This window comes from Homo sapiens, chromosome 3 (genome assembly GCF_000001405.40).
Source record: "Homo sapiens chromosome 3, GRCh38.p14 Primary Assembly".
Classification (NCBI taxonomy): domain Eukaryota; kingdom Metazoa; phylum Chordata; class Mammalia; order Primates; family Hominidae; genus Homo; species Homo sapiens.
Genome location: NC_000003.12, coordinates 90,063,612 through 90,085,069, shown reverse-complemented (window position 1 = coordinate 90,085,069; position 21,458 = coordinate 90,063,612). Strand labels below are relative to the sequence as shown.

The following is a 21,458-nucleotide window of genomic DNA, read 5'->3' as shown; positions in this document are numbered from 1 at the left end:
TTAGGCCTGGTGGAACTGCCATCAATAAACTAAATGTGATCAGTGTGAGGAACAGGAAATAAGGAAATATGGGGAAATGGGGTGAACATCAGGTGGATCACAGAGATACAGTCACGAGGGTCAGGTGTGGTATCCAGAATAATGTGGGAGGCCAGATTGAAGTCCGTGCTGGGAACAATGGTAATCGTGGGAGACTCAACAAAGAGTGAGTACAGCTGAAGGAGCTGGGAAGCAGAAAGTATATGCATCAGGTATGAGGAAGAAAATAGATTTTGGAAGTTATGAGAACTGTAGAGAGTGAGTTGAGCATAGTTTGTGATTTTTAGGGCTTCTAAAACTATTAAAGCAGTGGCAGCCACTGCATGCAGACATGAGGGCTAGGCTAAAGCAGTAAGGTAAAGTTGTTTGGACAGAAAGGCTACAGGGTGTGGTCTCAGTTCTTGTGTAAGAATTCTGACTGCACTAACCATGCCTAGGAAGGAAAGGAGTTGTTTTGTAGAAGGGATTGAGGTTTGGGAGATTAGTCTAACACGATCAGCAGGGAGAGCACCTGTGTTTTTATGAGAATTATGCTGAGATAGGTAACAGATGAGGATGAAATATGGGCTTGACTGAAGTAATGGGGGCTGTCTGTGAAGCCTTGTGGCAGTACAGCCTAGGTAATTTGCAGAGCCTGATGGGTGTCAGGGTTAGTCCAAGTGAAAGTGAAGAGAGGCTGTGGTGAAGGGTGCAAAGGAATAGTAAAGAAAGCATGTTTGAGATCCAGAACAGAATAATGGATTGTAAAGGGAGGTATTGAGGATAAGAGAGTATATGGGCTTGGCGCTATGGAGTGGATAGGCAAAACAATTTAGTTGATAAGGCGCAGATCCTGAACTAACCTGTGAGACTTGTCCAGTTTTTGGACAGGTAAAATGGGGGAATTTTAAGGAGAGTTTACAGGCTTTAAAAGGCCATGCTGTAACAGGCAAGTGATAACAGGCTTTAATCTTTTTAAAGTGTGCTGCAGGATGGGATATTGGCATTGAGCGGGGTAAGGGTGTTAGGTTTTAATGAGATGGTAAGGGGTGCATGATTGGTCGCCAAGGAGGGAGTAGAGGTATTCCATACTTCTGGGTTAAGGTAGGGGGATACAAGAGGAGGATGGAAAGGAGGCTTTGGATTGGGAAGAAGGGCGGCGATGAGATGTGGCTGCAGTCCAGGAATAGTGAGGGAAGCAGATAATTTAGTTAAAGTGTCTCAGCTGAATAAGGGGACTGGGCAGGTGGGGATAACTAAAAAGGAGGGCTTAAAAAAGTATTGCCTAAGTTGGCACCAGAGTTGGAGAGTTTTAAGAGGTTTAGAAGCCTGGCCGTCAGTACCTACAACAGTTATGGAGGCAAGGGAAACAGGCCTTTGAAAAGAAGGTAATGTGGAGTGGGTAGTCTCCATATTGATTAAGAAGGGGACGGACTTACCGTCCACTGTGAGAGTTACTCACAGCATCCGTGATGGTCCTGTAGGCTTCCGAGGTGATCGGGCAATGTCAGTCTTCAGCTGCTAAGCCGAGAAGATCTGGGAAGGAGTCAGTCAGAGAGCCTTGGGCCAGAGTTCCAGGGGCTCTGGGAGTGGCTGCCAGGTGAGTTGAACAGTCCGATTTCCAGTGGGGTCTGAATCATGGCACCAAATTTCATGCACATCCCTGTGAAGAAACCACCAAACAGGCTTTGTGTGAGCAACAAGGCTGTTTATTTCACCTGGGTGCAGGCGGGCTGAGTCCGAAAAGAGAGTCAGCAAAGGGAGATAGGGGTGAGGCCGTTTTATAAGATTTGGGTAGGTAAAGGAAAATTACAGTCAAAGGGGGTTGTTCTCTGGCGGGCAGGAGTGGGTGGGGGTGTCACAAGGTGCTCAGCAGGGGAGCTTTTGAGCCAGGATGAGCCAGGAGAAGGAATTTCACAAGATAATGTCATCAGTTAAGGCAGGAACAGGCCATTTTCACTTCTTTTGTGGTGGAATGTCATCAGTTAAGGCAGGAACCGGCCATCTGGATGTGTATGTGCAGGTCACAGGGGATATGATGGCTTAGCTTGGGCTCAGAGGCCTGACACTCATACTTGCAAAATACTGATCATCTGAAGATACCAAAGGAGTTAGTGCCTTCTTGGCTGTATTTTTTATTTATAGTTTTCATGAAAAGTTCCATTATCCTCTTAAAGTAGATGTTAAAAAAGCATGTGTCCAATAATCAATAAGCACATCTATTGAATATTTACCATGGAAGACACATACATATGTGCACACACACATACACACACACACTACATCATTTCAGGAGTTAGTAATCTTAGAGTGGGAAGAGAGAGGAGGAAGCACAATTTTGTAGACAGGCTGGACCTGAAGTGTCAGGAAGATATCAAAGTAGAAAAGTCTAGAGATTAGCAGGAGCTGAGCTACTGGGGAAAACATTTCCTATCTGCACTTTCTCTTCGCTGATGACTTCTTGAATAGAAAAGGAGAAAATTTTGTTGAAACTATTAATTATGCTATTTCAGAGAATACTTACAATTACATTTCTGCCCATATTTTTATGTACCTTTGTTGTAGTTATTTCAAAGCAAACATACTGGTGTATTTTGAGGGGATATAAATCATTAATAGAATCTATTTAGTTCATTTTTAACTTAATTACAAATTCAATTTAGCACATTTGCATATTAGGAACTGAAAAGGGCTTTATCACAGAAAATCCAGGAGTTCTGAGTTTTTCCTTCTACCTAGGTTGAAACTTAGAAAAGTTATGTGATGTTTTGCTGGTACTCCTAACAAATGTACCTACCCTTAGGAGTGATTTGGGCGGAAGAAATGATGCCTGTATGTTGGCTGTCTTCTGGGTACCCTACAGATCCACATCTATCATTCTTTGGTCCTGGGAAGCTGATCTGTAGAAACTATGTCACCTGGTTCCCTTGCCCTCTTTCTGCCCTCTAATTTGGTGAGAACAGTGGGAAATATCAGCAGGAGATGGGAAGTAGGGAGTGAATTCAGGATGTCTATTCCCTTGTTCTTTTCCTGTATGATTGCTGAGGGTGGCTGCTGTTTACCCAGCCCCTCTGTCTCTGGATTTTGGCCATCAGTCACTCCTCTGCAGACTTAGGGCTGCTAACTAACACCTTCCCCCTTAAATGGCCAGGGGTACTACCTTATACCTAGTGGGTTTTCCACTCTTGCGCAAACATTTGTAAAATCCTTTTATTAAACTGCCCTCAAGCTATCCCAATTTTAATGTGCCATTTGTTTCCTGGGGAAACCTGAAAGTGTATGAGGATTTCCAAACTTGACTCTGTATGTTAGAAATCCAATTTGACCCTGGACACCTCAGTGTACTTCTTCGAAAGCTGAGTTTCTACTTGGAAAAGAAATTGGCAGGTGGCTGGAGATTCTGGGACATTGAGCAAAGGCTAATTAGAACAAGGATTTTCTCAAATTTCTTTCCACCTAAAGAATAAAATGTTACGTTTCACGGAATAAAATATACAAGTGATATTCCAGAATATACTTGAAGACTAAAGAGTTTTTCAAGGTATACTTGCAATTAAACAAAGGAATGAGATGGCAGCTGCAGCCCTGAAGTCCATGCATTTGGACTTGACTTTAAATCGATGCCACAGACACATTTGGCCTCACATTGCTAGCAACACACTAAGTCCTAGTGCACTTAAGAGCTTCAGGTTTTTAATAAGCATTTTCTTCAAAGCAGTGGCTTGATTTGCTCTGTGATTTTTGTCAAGTGCATATCATATCAAAGGATAAGTGTTTGCCAAAGCCTTTCTTCAGCCACAAAAAGGGAAGTTTTGTTTGAAGAATGTCAAGCTGGCTGCAGTGACCAGCTCCCACTGGGAAGATGAAAGGAATGATTGGATTTCCTGTTACTCTTTTGTTGTTGTTTGTATCCCTCACATATTTTAATCAACATGAAAGAACATGTTGCACTGTGAGAGCAGTGCAATTTGAGAAAGCCATTTAGAGGCCGCCAAATACATTTGCAACTAATAAAGTTGTATTTGTCTATGGTGTCAAAGACCAGATTTATAAGAGATGATTAATAAGGGCCAGAATGCCAGACATGGAGAGATAATCAGGAGATTATTTTGAAGATGGATTTCTCCACTGCAGATTCTTGATATGCATTATGTACATTTCAAGAAACAAGATAGACTATAAAGGCTAATTTTGGTCCAATGACAATGTAGCATTGAGACACAATTATGGTGTAAACTGCATACATTTTCTATATACAAGTACACATGGCCTAATAAATCAAGAATAGTACTTTCAAATTGAGAATTAAGATTTCTTTATTAATGATCTGTGTTTAATATATGAAAATATTCATCTTAATTTATTGTTGTACATTTTTTTCTTATTAAATTTCTGTTATATATATATAATAGGCCCTCAATATGTGTTTGTTCAAGTAATGAATGACTAGATAGTTCAAGAATATGCATTTTTAAGTTTTTAAATCATTAAAAATTCTGTTACATAATGATCCTTGTGCCCTGAAGTTTTATAGTATTGTAGATCTTTTTTGTCTTACACTTTTTCTTCTTCCTATTTTTAAAAATTATAGAAGAAGGTTAAGTTCACCATATTCCTCAGTGTATATAATATGCTAGGCACTGGTCTGAACAAAGTCCTGCTCGTATCTTGGTCATTGATGGATTTCCTTTATTCCCATTGTTCACCACCTTTCTCCACAAAAGACACCATACTGTATATCCTTCTGCTCTTATGTTCTTACAAAATGTATATTGCTGTTTCACATGTCTATTTTTAATTTATGAAAATAGCAATGGAATAGATATTGTCCTTACCATTTTCATTCATAAGTATGTTCTTACAATTTTTCCTTTTGGCTATGAGCAATATACTCCATTGCTTCTAGCCAACAGTGCACTGTAATGGGTCTTCACCATACAATAACTACACAGTTCCTTGATGTTATCACTGTATTACAAATTCGTCTTCTGATGTATAGGCCATCCACCTTTCTACCTGTGGTTCCTGAGGGTTCTCGTGATCCCACAAGCCTGCCAATGCTTGGTGTTATCTAGCTTTTAATTTTGGTCATTATGGACATAAAATGATGTCTCATTGCTTCAGTATGCATCTTTCTGATTAAGTCTGAGCATCTTTTTATGTGCTAATTGGCTTTGTAGACCATCTCCTCTGTAACTTGACAGAACATATACTTTGCCCAGTTTTCAACTGGGATTTACGTTTTCACCTTTTTTATTTTCTCAGGATAGTCTATGTATTAGACCTTTGATAGTTTTAGTGAAAACTTTCAGTCTTCCATTTTCTCTGATCTTTATTTATGAGGTCCTTTCTTGAACAAAATCCTTAAGTGTAGTATGAGAAGTTGTGTCTTGTGTATGTGTATGTTGTTTTGGGGTTTAAGAAGTTATTTCCCACCTATCTGTCCCCAAGTTATTCTTCTGTATTTTCTATTATTGACTTCATAACTTTATTTTACACATTTGAATCCTTAATATATTTAGTCTACATTTATATGTGATGTGGATGGAAGTCCTGTTTTTTTTTTTTTTCTATATAATGCCAATTTTCCCAACTCTTTTATTAAAAAATTTGCCATTTGCCCTTTGGTGGTTGTGCTGGCACCTTTATCGTGTGTTTCTGCTCATGGGTTTTTATCTGAGCTCTTTATTGTATTATATCAGACCACTATCTATTCTTGTGCCAATAATATACTGTCAATGCAGTATTTTGTTTAACTAGGGCTTTATAGTATAGTATGAACTAATATCTGGTATGTCAAATTTTTCTTTTTTAAAATATACACTTTGCTATTTGTAGACCTTTGTTTTCCATACAAATTTTAGTGTAAATGTATTAAAAAATTACTACTGTATTAGGATTGTACCAAATTTATAGATTAATTTAATTTAGACAACTTTTAAGTTGTGTCACCCAAGGGCATGGTATATCACTTCAGTTATTCAGCTCATCTATGCCCGACCTGAGAGTTTTGAAATTCCTCAGAGCTTTGAGCATTATATTTGAAATAATTTCTAGAAATTTATAGTGTGAAAGTAATGTCACATTTCTATCATATTTTTAATTTTTTGTTGCTTGTAAAAAGAGATTCTATTGAATTTTGCAATTTGATTTATATCAGGAAACCTTGGTCAATTTCTTCATAGTTCTAATAGTTTAGCCTATGATTTCATTTATTGTCCTGTGTAATGACCAATTCACAGAGTGTGGCTGTTTATCAGAATTTATTTCTGGCTGATTACAGTTGTACTCTCTTTTTTCTTCCTTTGGTTCAGCCTTCTAGATTGTAAATATTGTCAAGGTATTTGATAATGATGAGTTTATAAAATTTTTACAACAACCACTTTTATTTATCTTCTTATTTTAGTACTTTCTTCAAGATTGTTTTCTCGGTGGCTTTATGGTGGCAAATTATCTGCGGCTTTATATGCCTGAGAGGATTTGGCATTCCTTAATATTTAAATCAGAAGGCAACTGGATGTATAATTTTTACAATAACATTATTTCCTTAAAATACAGTCAAACCTTGTTACAGAGAAGTCTAAGGTCAGCTGATTTTTATCATTTTGTAGATGATAGCTGCCTTTCCTTTTGGTAAACTTTGGAATTCTTATCTTTGCTATTCTTAAATACCACAATAATGTGTCTAAAAGTGAAGTTTTTTATTATCTGATTTATTTATCACTCTGAAGCCTTTCAATCTGGCATCTTTCACCTTTTTCTAATTTTAGAAAATTTATCTTCAATGTTTCTTCTTTTCTTTTGTAACTTCTATATTTTAGAGATTCCCATCATCTAGATACCGGCACTAGAACTCTCCATATCTCTTTAATTTACACATAATATGATTTTAAATTTTTTATACCTTCTGGAAGGTTGCCTAAATATTATTTCCTGCTTAGTAATTTGCTCTTAAATTATGTATATCATGCTGTTTATTCAATCTTTTTTCTTTCTTTAAACTATTGTCATTTTTGTACCTAATGTTTGATTCATTCTTCAAATTCTTATTCCTATTTAATATTGCTAGCATTTTTCTTCATATATTTAATAATATTATTATATATAATTTAATTTTTTTATTCTTCTGTTTATTAGCCTGTGGGGTTATCAGCTACTCTGCTGATAATATATATTAGAAAACACTGAGGGTCAAACTTTAGTTTGTGTCTCTCAGTAAATTTTGGGAATAGAAGGGGATGAAGCTCAGGATGGAGAGTTTCAGGTACTAGAACTACTGTTGTTAACCCTTACTTATCATCTACAGATGAGGACCATTAAGGATAAGAGCACTTCCTTATTATCAGACCACTCTTTTGGTCAGTGACCCACTTTTAAATTCTTGGAAAGAAAGAGAGAAGACAGTTTCCTTAGTTTGTAATCCACCAGCCTTGGGGGAAAGACAGCATTAAGAAATGAATACTGAAGGGCAGAAGATCAGCCTGGGTATGTTGGAATCCACTTCTCACACTGATAGGATTTTTGCAATAACCTGAAATTATTTTATAGATATTGGTGGCCTAAGTTGTTATGAGCATATGGCTTCTGTGGCCAAGTGGCAAGTGATGATTTTCTCAAGTTAACACAGGATAAAGAAAAAAAATATATAAATGTTTTCCTGAGTATAATGAATAGATTAAAACAATCTATAGTCTCTCTGGTGGTTTTTGTTTTTTTTTTTTTTTCAGGTTTCTGTTGTGATTGGTTGTTTGTGCTTGTACCTCTGATGCATTCATTTTTTGTTGTAATTTCAGTAGTTTTTCAGGAGAAATCCAGCAGAAATCTTTTCACAGCTTTTCTTCCCACTGTTTGTCTTTCCCTCCCTCCCTCCCTCCCTTCCTTTCTTCTTTCCTTCCTTCCTTCTTTCATTTCTTCCTTCCCTCCTTCCATATCCCTCTCTCTTTCCCCTCCCTCACCACATCTCTTCTCTTCCCTTTCTCTCCTTTCCTTCTCTCCCTTATCTTTTCTTTTGCTTCTCTTTTCATCCTTTCCCTTTCCTTCTGGTCCCTAAACCTTGGACAAGGGAAGCAGTAAGGTTAGAGGAAATAAGAACTGGATTTAGCAGCAGCACAAAATTGTTCTTTTACTCCTTCTCTTGTTTCTCAAGCCCAGCCCTACAGTTTTCTAGTATGTGCAAAATCTTGGATTAAAATTTGAAATGTCTCCAATAAACTACTCAGTTCTCCTCTACTGAAGGTGTTTGCCCAAGGAGAGTAGCTATCATTGACATTGGCGATGTTCTAGAAATTTACTTATTCATCTTGGATCAACACATGGAATTAATTGTTGGTTTAACATCAGCTAATAAAGCATGTTGCCCAGACATCAATTTTTTTTTCTTGCAGCAATAATTGAAATCAATTAAAAAGGAGATATCTTCCATAAACCTTACACAGAGAAGGAGAGATATGGTTTTCCCTCAGACCTTTGGCATGAAAACTGCAATGCAAAGTACTAGAGATTTAATGTATCAAGTTTTGTTCTTTTTGGCTAATACAAATTTTTATCTATTGAGCTCCCAAACTCAACACTCCATAAAACTGAAACAGTTCTGTGATGAGGAAGAGAAGTGGTAACTATTTAAAGCAAATGCCTACTTTGGTATAGACACACACAACACTTTCATTTGCACATACATTGCTAATGTTTTACTCTGAAACCTTGTATTTCTTCACACATTTGGTTAACCATATGCCTTTGATGACAATCCAATTTTAAAGCATGGCTTCTTATGGGGAATGAGAAGTATAATTAAGCTAAAATTTTAGACTAGGTCTGTAATGCATTTTGATTTCTCATGAGGTTCTAATCCAGTTTACAAAATGTTTCCAGATGTACAATCTAGTTCCAGATCAATTTTTTATGGATGTACAGAAATCGTAATCCTAAATTATGAAAATATAATATTTATAGTCTTTGTTATGGTAGCTCCATTTGGAACATCATCTTGAAATTATTAAGATCATGGAAAGTTGTACAGAGCAATTTAAGATTTTTAATTTTGTATTTGTGCTCAAAATGAGTGATTGTAAACTTTGAATATCCTTATAGATGAATCTTAGAGATTTAAGATATTCACATTTAGTCTATTTAATGTTTTATTTAATTTTCTCTTTATTTAATCTTCTATCATATCTTGAGAGATGAGTCATGTTGTTAGGGTCAGAATTAGGGGAGAGAGCTGGTACAATATATTTGTAATTTTAGGCAAGATATCTTTGTTTCAAATTATCTGATTCTGAATGTTTCCCAGAAAAATTTGTTCATTTATTTTACAGTGTATCAGATATTACGCTGGAGATTAGGAATATAAAGATGAATAAAAGAATATTCTGAAAGACCTTGCAGTATGATAGAATAGTAAGAAGCATGAATACATCTTTAGGGATGAACAGGATGTGACAAAGTGATCACTGAGGGGAACAACTCTCTAGGCGAAAGGCTCAGCGCTAGCAATGATGTGAGTGTGGTAACAGCATAAGGAATTTCAAGTAGTTCTCTTTTCAGTGAGTAAAGTTTAACGCCAGTAGTGCAATAGATAAACCTGGAAAAGTAGTCAGCAAAAAGTACAGCCAGGGCTTTTCTTACTTGCCTGTAAGAAGTTTGAAGTTTTCCTACAACGGGAAGCAAGTCAAATGCCTTTAAGAGACTGTAGTGATTTGGGCCAAACAGATAATTGTTTAGATTATAAAAATTCTACAGCTTTGACTAAAGCTGAGAATATCCATAAACCATACCATGGGAATGTCCCCAAGAAAAGTGAGTGCTTATGATCATCAAAATTCATACAAAAGAATGTTTATTACTGCTTTATTCACAATAGTTTCAAATGGAAACAATTTAAATGTCTATCAACAGAAAAATGGATAAATATATGATGGCATATTCATACAATAGAATACATCAATGGAAAATAACAAACTCGACTAAATCCATGGATACTACTACATAGATGCAACTACAAGGATGAATCTCAAAGATGCAATGTTGAGCAAAATAACCCAGACAAAATAGAGCATGTAATTAATACCATTTTTATAAAGCACATGAAGAATCAAAATGTATATTTTTGAGAGAAGTTAGGTTAGCTTTGGGGAGAATATTGACTGCGAGGGGCCATGAGAGCCTACTGAGATGCTTAAAATTTCCAGTATTGCATCAATAATTACATGGAGATATATATATATATGTATATTCATGTAATTCATATATACGTGTTTATGTAATTAATATATATGTATATTCATGTAATTAATATATATGTACATTCATGTAATTCATATATATATATATATCTCCATGTAATTATTGATGCAGTACTGAAAATTGTAAGCATCTCAGTAGGCTGTCATGGCCCCTCACAGTCAACATTCTCCCCAAATATATATATTTGCACATATATATATTTATGTAACCCATATATATATATATATATATATCCATGTAGCCATATATATGCACAAAATGAATATATATATTTATGTAATCCATATATGTATATTTATGTAATCCATATATATCCATGTAATTATTGATGTATTACTGTTAAGCATCTCAGTAGGCTGTCATGGCCCCTCACAGTCAACATTCTCCCCAAATATATATATTTGCACATATATATTTATGTAATCCATATATATATCCATGTAGCCATATATATGTATGCACCAAATTTGTAAAATTATTGAGCTATACATTTACATATGTATTTTACACCTTAATACAAATTTAAAAATTTGAGTCAGTGGAAATTACTGGAGGAACTGGGAAAGCAGTCTTTTCATTCCTCTTGTATTTTGTGTTTTTGTGCATATGTGCCATAATAAAATCACTGAGCTTTAGTTGAAAAGAACTGGATTTAAAACATAGCTAAGTTTACTAGCAGTGAGAGTTTATGAAAATAATTTAGCCTCTTGAAGCTTCATTTTTGTCACCTGTAAAATAGAGATAATAATAATTATTTTATGGGATTGTTGTGAGAACTAAATAAGAAGTGGCTTTAAGCTGGTTACAGTGGGTCATGCCTGTAACCCCAGCACTATGAGAGGCTGAGGTGGGCAAATTGCTTGAGCTCAGGAGTTCCAGAGAAGACTGGGCAATGTGGGGAAACCCCATCTCTACAAACAAACAAACAAACAAACAAACAAACAAAAATTAGCCAGGCATGGTGGTGCATGCCTGTAATCCTAGCTACTTGGGAGACTGAGCTGGGAGGATCATTAGAGCCTGAAAGGGTGAGGCTGCCATGAGCCAAGATCATGCCACTGCACTCCAGTCTGGGTGACAGAGCAAAAATAAAAAATAAAAAAGAGTGAGGGAGGCTTTAGTTCACGTCCTCTAGAAAGTAGACTAAGCCTAGGGTGTAGGCCTAGGATGCCAAGGGTGAAACTTCTCCAGAATGTTTGCCAAGGATAATTTATACTAGTTTTCTCAATAAATTTGTTTTCTTGTTTCCTGTTATCCTCCTAAGATGAATAATTTTTTCCCCTTTCCCCTCTCTCTTTCTATTACACTTTCCCTTTCTTCCTTTCTTCCATTTGTTTTTTTCAGTATCATTAATTATAGGGGCTCAGAGGATGATAGAATTATTCAGTTGTTTCATCCACCACTTTATATTTTAACTGCTTAGAATAACAATACTAACACCACCAATATACTGACTGAAAACAGTTAAATATTTTTGTTGTATTCATGGTCCTCATTTTCTATTTCTAATAGTCATACTATGTCTACATTGTCAGAGCATGTAGCTGTTATGTATTATACTTCATCTCTTTTAACCACTAGCTACTCTTAAGTCTACATGTGAGTGTATAATGTTCACCACCAGTCAGTGTCTCTAATTATTTTCGTTGACTGAAGCTGTTCATTAGTAGATTCCTCAGAAGGAGCTCAAAGAAACATTGTTCCTTAAATTTCTGCATTTTGAGAATTTCACTCACGTCCATGTAAAGATACCACCAAACAGGCTTTGTGTGAGCAACAAGGCTGTTTATTTCACCTGGGCGCAGGTGGGCTGAGTCCGAAAAGAGAGTCAGCCCGCCTGCACCCAGGTGAAATAAACAGCCTTGTTGCTCACACAAAGCCTGTTTGGTGGTCTCTTTACAGGGGCACGGGTGAAATTTGGTGCCGTGACTCGGATAGGGGGACCTCCCTTGGGAGATCAATCCCCTATCCTCCTGCATTTTGCTCCATGAGAAAGATCCAACTACCACCTCAGGTCCTCAGACCCACCAGCCCAAGGAACATCTCACCAATTTTAAATCAGGTAAGCGGCCTCTTCTTACTCTCTTCTGCAACCTCTCTCACTATCCCTCAACCACTTTCTCCTTTCAATCTTGGCGCCACACTTCAATCTCTCCCTTCTCTTAATTTCAATTCCTTTCATTTTCTAGTAGAGACAAAGGAGACACGTTTTATCCGTGGACCCAAAACTCCGGCGCTGGTCATGGACTCAGGAAGGCAGCCTTCCTTTGGTGTTTAATCATTGCAGGGACACCTCTCTGATTATTCACCCACATTTCAGAGGTGTCTGACCACGCAGGGACGCCTGCCTTGGTCTTTCACCCTTAGGGGCACGTCCTGCTTTTCTGGGGGAGGAGCAAGAACCCCAACACCTTCTCTCCCTGTCTCTACCCCTTCTCTGCTTTTCTGGGGGGCAAGAATCCCCCGATCCCTTATTTCCACACCCCAACCTCTTATCTCTGTGCCCCGATCCCTTATTTCTGTGCCCCAACCTCTTATCTCTGCGCCCTACCCCCTTATTTCCATGCCCAGACCCCTTCTCTGCTTTTCTGGGGGGCAAGAACCCCCCACCCCTTCTCTCCTTGTCTTTACTCTCTCTTTTCTCTGGGCTTGCCTCCTTCACTATGGGCAAGCTTCCGCCCTCCATTCCCCCTTCTTCTCCCTTAGCCTGCGTTCTTAAAAACCTAAAATCTCTTCAACTCATACCTGACCTAAAACCTAAATGCCTATGTTCTTCTGCAATGCCACTTGACCACAATACAAACTCGACAGTGGTTCCAAATAGCCAGAAAATGGCACTTTCAATTCTTCCATCCTACAAGATCTAAATAATTCTTGTCGTAAAATGGGCAAGTGGTCTGAGGTGCCTGACCTCCAGGCATTCTTTTACACATCAGTCCCTCCCTACTTTCTGTTCCCAATGCGATTCATCCCAAATCTTCCTTCTTTCCCTCCTGCCTGTCCCCTCAGTCCCAACCCCAAGCATCACTGAGTCTTTCTAATCTTCCTTCTCTACAGACCCATCTGACCTCTCCCCTCCTCGCCAGGCCAAGCTAGGTCCCAATTCTTCCTCAACCTCCGTTCCTCCACCTGGTACCACTTACAGTTTTGTTCCATGACTAGCCCTCCCCCACTTGCCCAGCAATTTCCTCTTAAAAAGGTGGCTGAAGCTAAAGGCATAGTCAAGGTTAATGCTCCTTTTTCTTTATCCAAATCAGATAGCGTTCACTCGCGTCCATGTGAAGAGACCACCAAGCAGGCTTTGTGTGAGCAACAGGGCTGTTTATTTCACCTGGGTGCAGGCAGGCTGAGTCCAAAAAGAGAGTCAGCAAAGGGAGATAGGGGTGGGGCCGTTTTATAAGATTTGGGTAGGTAAAGGAAAATTACAGTCAAAGGAGGTTGTTCTGTGGCGGGCAGGAGTGGGGGTCACAATGTGCTCAGTTGGGGAGCTTTTGAGCCAGGAGAAGGAATTTCACAAGATAATGTCATCAGTTAAGGCAGGAACCGGCCATCTGGATGTGTACGTGCAGGTCACAGGGGATATGATGGCTTAGCTTGGGCTCACAGGCCTGACAGAGAATGGATACATTTATGTTTGAAAGTCAATTTTGTTGAATATACAATCCTCAGTTCAAATTTTCTTTCATTGAGTAGCATAAATACGGTACTTCCTTTCTTCTGGCATAAAGCATTGCACCAAAAAGTCTGAAAAGAACCAGAATTTCTTTCCTTTGTTCATTTTACCTTAATATCCAAAGACTTTTTTCTTTTTCTTTAAAGTCTAGTAATTTTCCTAGAATATGTCTTGGTGTCTCAGGTAAAAGGTATGTTCAGTATGTACATATGAGGTATGTAATTTCAAATTTATCTTTAAAGTTTCTGAAAATTTTTCTTAGAACTCAGTCTTTAGTATTTGTCTTATATCCTTGGTTTGTTTTCTTCAGGATTTCCTATTATTTGTTCCTTGAATCTTCTCTATCTTCTCTATCTTACTGAATCATCACTTTCTGTTAATCCTATTTATCTCTATTCATTTCTTTTGACCTTCTACTTAAAATAAGGCATTACTTATTATGTTCATTTCTCTTGTATTCTTTTTAAGTTTAGTCTTCATTTCTAAATAATTGTTTTATTTTGAATTCTTTCCAAAGTTCTGCCTCATTGCTTATTTTTTGTAATTTAGGTTTTTGTTGTTTTTTATATAGTATATAAATGTATGCTTTGTGAATAGCTATTACAGTTTACATTTTTCAATTTTGATTGCAGTTTATATTACATTTTGTCTTATCATTTCCTAGGGTCCATTTTAGGAAGGTGGAACAATTGTATCAGCTTTATTATAAGAAGCTTGAAGTATTTTCCTATTCATTGCCATCAATTTTTTATGCAAACAATAAGTATTATTTCTGCAACTGGTATAAATCTGATTTATAGTATGTTTTAAATGGAAGAATAAAGTAAGTATAATAGAATCAAGAAAAAATTCTGATTAGTTAAAACACTTATACTTCTAAATTCAACTATTTTTTCTATAGTATTTTTCTATTATTTTGTTCTGTTATTGTTTACTTTGTTAAGTATATCTAAAATATAAATATGATCTTTTTTATTTGAAAGATGTCAGGTGTTAGAAAAAATGAACAAAGTGATTTGTGGACCTCACTGATCCATTTAGACTTTGCCTGAGCTAGCAAATAAAAGATTAAAAATAAAAGGCACACTCTGTATTATTCCTTTCCCTCCTGTGTCCCTCAACCTTCCAGAGTGTAGCACACATTTTCTTTGGTCTTATCTATGCAAATGGACCACCTGGCCTGTCATGCAAATTAGTCGTGTTTTCTAAAAGGAAAAGAATTGTAGGAATGTAATGTTCTTTAGTGCCAATGCCAACTGACTTTTCTAGAACATTTAAAAATGACTAATTCAATTCTCATGGTTTATTCTTAAAAGTTGCCTTGATAATATCCCAACTTATAAGATTCTACTGTCAAACAGCAATAGAAATCCATAGGATGTTAGGCCTGAACTCCAGATAAATATCTTTCTTTAACAAAGGGTTTTATGAAAACTAAAGAGACAGGGTATTTGAAAGTGTTTTGTTAAAAAAAAGAATTAGACAAATATGAGGTATTACCATCATTCTTTACTGTTATGAATTTTAACTTCATTTAAAATCTGTTTCTTGTTCTACTTGGCATTTGCTTGGATACATATGTGGTTACTTTCACTTAATAGAATCCCTTCCCCTAAAATGAGACTCATAATGGGTTCTTATTAAAATGGTGTAAATGTCAGTGTAAGATTCAGAAGGGGGAAATTAGTCCTAATAACTGCAGTAGAGTTCAGCATTCAATCAATTTATATATCTTGAGTTAAATTCTCTTGAATATACTGTTGTTACAAGTTCCATATAAGCCTGGATGAGGTATATTAGAATTCTATTAATGTAGTAGGGCTACTTACTTCTTAAATACATCATGGATCAGTCTTTCGCTTCTGCAAGCCTAAACTTTTTTCTGTTTTCTGTGGCAGCACATGGTTGAGAATAATAATCTAGTCAGGTTACAGAGTGCAATATGCTTCTCTTGGCCATCAGATAACGGATGTGTGTGTGTGTATGTGTGTGTGTGTGTGTGTCTGTGTGTCCATTATGGGTCAAAACACAAAATTAAGGATAAATATCCATGTATAAATATCCATCATATTGCCTCTGCCAGGAATGCATTTATCAAGGGAATTTAATTAATAAAATGCAGTGCATCACTGTCTTGTCAAGCTTGCCTCTGGTAGGAAGGCATATGCTTGAATTCAAGCTGGGAAAAAATGATGAAAACTATTTTCTGACCTGACCCCAGCTCTGTTGGACTTCGTAGAGTGAGATATGTTATAGAAAGCTGTGAGAAATCTTTTCTCATTAAATAGGATACTGATTACTAATCAGTAACTATCTCCAGGAATAGGCAGAAGAATATGGTGCGTGGAAGGTTTTCAAGGGAAATTTTGGAGGTCATATCTGACTGGTCAGTTTTACTAAGTTTAGGCAAAAGGGTTTGTCTGCTTGAGAAAAGGGAAATAAAAAGCTCCCTCTTTTCTGCATCCTTTTATGGCACAAGAAACTGATTCTTTTCTGTATTTTGGGGAAAGTTTATCTCTTTTTGTTAGTAGAGAGAAAGCTTATAGATACTTCTCAGGTTTTGCGTACACAGTTCAGTGTTTGGTATAAAAATTCTAAAATAATGATGATGATGATGATGATGATTATGGCTACCATTTGTCAGTGCTTTCCATGTTTTAGGCAATGTTCTGAGTGCCTTATGTGGATTAACTCATTTAAATCTCAGTAATCCTGTAGTAAGGCTGCTGAGACATGGGAACCTTTAGTAACTTGCAAAAGGCTACACAGAAATGGAGAAAGCAGGATTTAGCCTTAGGCCAGTCTAGCTATGAGGATCATACTCTTAACTACTACCCTGATGCTTCTAGTCAACACATAGTGACTGATGATGACATCCAGAATTATGCCCAGACTCAAGGGAAAAATAAGTTCTTGACTACACTCCCAGCACTGGCAGTTTGGACCCCAGCTACAAAAAAAAAAAAAAAAAAAAAAAAAAAAAAAAAAAATGTATAAAAAGTCACTTTTTTTTTAAAATGCCTTTATAACACAAGCATTTGATGCATACTTATTCTATGTAAGGATGTTTGCTAGGTAATGTGATGATACAAAGAAATATCAGATCCCCAAGGAAATGAATTCTTCTGATATAAAAGATGAGAAGAAAACATGTTTTCTTTCAAGGAGTGGGCAGATAATTTTCTTTATTCCATGTCTGAATGTCAAGATCAGGATCATAAATACTCTTAGTTTTAAAGATTAACAGGAAATTTTAATCAAACACGGCTTTCATGGGCAATATTTCTTTGGAACACATTCAAATTCTCTACATGTTCTCATTTAGTATATTCTTTTTTCCTTTATTATCTGTACACCTGAACTTCCATGCCATTCAGAAGTGTGGGCATGGGTAATTAAACATAAAGTTAAATATTTCTGCTTAGATCAATGACTTCTGATGGAAAGCATATTATTTTTATAATCCTATTCTAGTTACCATTTAGTGAACCATAAATATTAAATAATATCCCCTATTTGGTGGATGACTGTTTATAGCATTTTTGTATTTCTTTAATTACCCTCTTTCCTTTCTCCCTTCCTTTTCTCCTTCCTTCCTCTCTTCCTTCCTTCCTTCTTTCCCTTTTTCCTTTTCTCCCTTCCTTCTCCCCTTCTCCTTGTTTTCTTCCTTTTTTCCCTTTCTTGCTTCCTTCTCTCTCTCTCTTTCCCCCTTCTTTCCCCTCCCTCTCTTCCTCTTTTTCTTTTAGAAAGTTCAACAATCCAACAGACTTATCTGTCATCAGGTTAAGAATGATGGACTCATTGAACTGTTGGCGTCATAAAGAGATACTCATTAATCAAATGAAGTTTTGCCTTACAAAGTCTAATGCAAACATATACAATAACATTTGGTGACATAGAATTTATACTTTAAAATTCATGAATCGTATTTTAAAAAGCTGATGTTTAATTAGAATGTGATAGCATAATGGTACTTCAGAAATTTAAAACTAATACAGTGTTTAAAAATTTGGATTTTAAATATCATTTTGGAATATATATAAATTTAGCAGATATATAAGAAGTGAAATAATTTTCTAATGTTGAAGTTTCATTAAAATAATTAACACAAATATTTTCATAAGAATGCATATGAGGACAGATCATTTCTATAATCTGAAATATTCTTTAAATTATATTTGTAAAATATTTCTGACTATTATAGAGTAATAAGAATCAGTTATAAGACTTGTTTGATATAAAAACAGCAACCAACTGAATTATCTCACTTGGATGTTTGCCAATAGCAGACACTGAAAATTTGAATCCTTATCCTCATGTTGCTCTGACTGTAAACTTTAAATGAACCCACATATATTAACTATATTGATATTTTTAAATGAGATGCCCCTACTAGTATTTCATCCATATGTGCTGGCTGTAATTGGGAAAAATTAGATTTAATATTTGCAAGAAGTCAGGCCGAAAAACAGCTGTTCCCAAGGCCCATGTCCCCTTTGGGCATTTATACTCAAATGTCACAGGACACATATTCCTGCTATCCATTCCCAAAAGATGAAGTACATTTTAAATTGGCAGCAATTCTGGAAAAGATCCAGATTACAAAAGTTTTATAATTTTATGGATATGGATTATCTGAAGCATAACAGCCTTTAATTACCCACATTCTTACTGGCACATTATACCTTCAAAATAGGCACACATAGAACAATTTAAATGATCACATATTTGTATATAATACAGAAATATACAGCACCCATGAAGTTCAATAGAACTGCCATGGGACTCCATCCTGCTTGTTGTATTTCTTTTTCCAGCATTTCTGAAATGGTATGAATGATTCATTATAGACACACATTTTGTACAGCTCATTTGGCAAAGCAATAGACTAAGATTTATAATCCCACTCTAATGATAATTTCTACAAAGTATTTTCCTAAATAAATAATACTCTGTATTTAGTATATTAATATTTGATTAAAAAATAGAAATTTCCCACATAACAACTATGAACTGAAAGCATGCCTGTCTTAATTAATTGCAAATTAAGAAAAACAGTGCATGAATTTTTTCTCATTTGAAGGTTTGATAGTGAGAACTGTGTTATTTTATATTGCCTCTGTTAATGGAGAGGGGAAGTTTGTCCATTGGGGTAAAAAGTGCATGAATGAACAATAAAAATTTGGAAATCATATGTGGGTTTTTCCCCCTTATTCAGGATATCTACCTACTCCACATGCTAGCTAATACACCTTTGCTTTCAATATGCTGACCGTTATCAATAATTGTATACGGGTCTGAGATTTGACTCTGCTTTTAAGCTAATGAGTTAACCTGCTATTATTTTATGAATTCTGGCAGAAAACATGAGGGTATTGTGTCAGGACAAAGGACGTTTTACTCATAGTGCAACAAGCAGTATGATGTATGCACCAGTGGCCCTTCCCCCCCAGTTCTTACAGTGCTGAGATGCAATAGGGCTCAGGTTTAGGTTTATTACATGCACAGAATGTAGCTGAGGAGCCCCAAGCTTAGAGACTCCTTATATTTTATAATGAGCTAAAGCAGACCTGTGCAATCTTTGCCCTGTAGAGAGATAGTATACTAGAGTGTTTGTTAATACTATCTCAGAGGGAGACACAATAGATCTACCCAGGCTGTTTGCTCTACAGACATCCTTGAAAATAGTCCAGAACAAAATTAGTTAGTGTGCTTACTCACAAAATGTGTAGCTGTGAGAGATATCTATGTAGAATTATCTGCAAATAGTTGCATCTCTTGTTTCCACGTTGTCTTTGCTATGGCAGATATTTCCAAGAGTACAACACTCTACTTAATCTGACTGAAAGAAACTGAGACCAGATCTGTTTAGTTTGTCTCATACAGCATTCAGTTGAGGTTATACCCAACAAGACTCCAAGCAGAAGGACCTACATGCACTATTTACCTTAACCATTCATTCGTAAGCCATTATAGTATCCCTTATAAAGCCAAATGGTTTCTTTTTAAGTTTCTGTATTGACCTTTTCACTTGGCTTGAGGCATTAAGCAAAGTGCAGAAAGATGTACTAAAGATTGCCCAGCTTCCCCCTTGTCATGCAAGAACAAAGTCTAGGACACTCCTCTCATTTATATCAACCCTAAGCGGTGAGTTCAGGCTGATTTGCATGCCCTCCTCGGTTGAGGTGGTGGTCCCTTAAACACTTGATGGTCTCTTATGACCACCACTAAAGTAGACATCCATGCTTTTGGGAGGGAAGCATGTTAATGCCTGCCTTCCACATGAAATTGAATCCTGATCGTGCCCCTGGAAAGATAGTGTTGTTTACAACTGATGGTGCTCCTCATGTAGAATCTACATGAGTCTTGGGGCACAGGTTTAAAGTATTTTCAATGTAGTCTCTTGGCTAGACTGTAGGCTTTAGGGTTCCAAGTTCAGTTTGAATAATTAAGTGTATGCCTTATTTTAGAGGAACCATCAGTTTTCCCACACTACATGCTGTGTGGCATTTCTCTGACCCACTGAATGGCTGGGAAAACACCCGCTGGTATTTTGGGAGTTGCAGCCAACCAATTCTATTTCCGATAGATATTTTGAGAAAATTAAGAGAAGTGGAAGCCAAATCATGGTCGAGTCATTTGGAGAGGGATAACTGACCTATAAAGTTAAGTTTTGAAGATCTACACTGGGATATTTTCTTCATGTGAAAGGCTCTACAGAAGAAAAAAAATGATTGTTCATTTTTCCTCTTCCGCATTCTCCCTGAAATCTGTTCCATCCTCAAATGCCAAGTTTGTTGCTTTCCCTTCATCACCACAAAAATCAGTGTGCCTATTCTGGTAGCCATAACCACATCTTTTTTCCAATCATCCCCTACTCAAACTTTTCCCTTTTGTCCAAAAGGATCATGTGCAAAAAAGGCAAGGGCATTTTTATAAAACTCTCAGATACCCATATGTACCCCACTTTGTCCTGTATGGGTTACTGTAGGAACCCAGTAAGCAGCGTAGCACCAATAGTCATTATCCTGATGCTCTAAGACCATGTCAAGCCAACAAGAGATCCAGGTAGCTGGACATGAATTATGTTTGAATCTTCTTTTGGATGGGCAGCCAAGTCTCTCTCTTGACATCAGAGAGACAGGTAACCAAGCCAACCCGGGGTTTCCTTTGGAAAAACAAAGTAGCATCATGGCCAGAACTGGTCAGGAAAGAATCTCAAATTTTCAAAGTAGATCTAGCTACCCCTTATTCTTTTTTACATCATTATCACCCAGGAAGTAACTGAGAGGGGATTATTCCTGTCTGGGATACCCTCATTTAGTGACCAAACTACCTGACTATGGTGTGTGGATCAGAAAGGGTAAATAAGTTAAAAACAGATAATGTTTTGAGTTGATTTTAAAGAAAGTTATGCCAAAACTAAGTGATAACAGATGCTTAGGCATGGCAGGGAGTGTAGAAGGTCCATTGAATATCTTGACTCCTAACCAACCTTTGAATGTTTTTTGCAATCAAAGGC

The 21,458-nt window shown here is 36.7% G+C and overlaps 3 annotated features.

The window, feature by feature from the left end:
• Nucleotides 490-1,365: an enhancer, noted in NCBI's record as "H3K27ac hESC enhancer chr3:90132855-90133730 (GRCh37/hg19 assembly coordinates)". NCBI's record gives its function as "activates a minimal SCP1, AML or CMV promoter by ChIP-STARR-seq in primed H9 embryonic stem cells {active_cell/tissue: H9 hESC(primed)}" and the evidence as "EXISTENCE:reporter gene assay evidence [ECO:0000049][PMID:30033119]".
• Nucleotides 1,366-2,243: an enhancer, noted in NCBI's record as "OCT4-NANOG-H3K27ac hESC enhancer chr3:90131977-90132854 (GRCh37/hg19 assembly coordinates)". NCBI's record gives its function as "activates a minimal SCP1, AML or CMV promoter by ChIP-STARR-seq in naive and primed H9 embryonic stem cells {active_cell/tissue: H9 hESC(naive and primed)}" and the evidence as "EXISTENCE:reporter gene assay evidence [ECO:0000049][PMID:30033119]".
• Nucleotides 3,375-4,179: an enhancer, noted in NCBI's record as "OCT4-NANOG-H3K27ac hESC enhancer chr3:90130041-90130845 (GRCh37/hg19 assembly coordinates)". NCBI's record gives its function as "activates a minimal SCP1, AML or CMV promoter by ChIP-STARR-seq in naive H9 embryonic stem cells {active_cell/tissue: H9 hESC(naive)}" and the evidence as "EXISTENCE:reporter gene assay evidence [ECO:0000049][PMID:30033119]".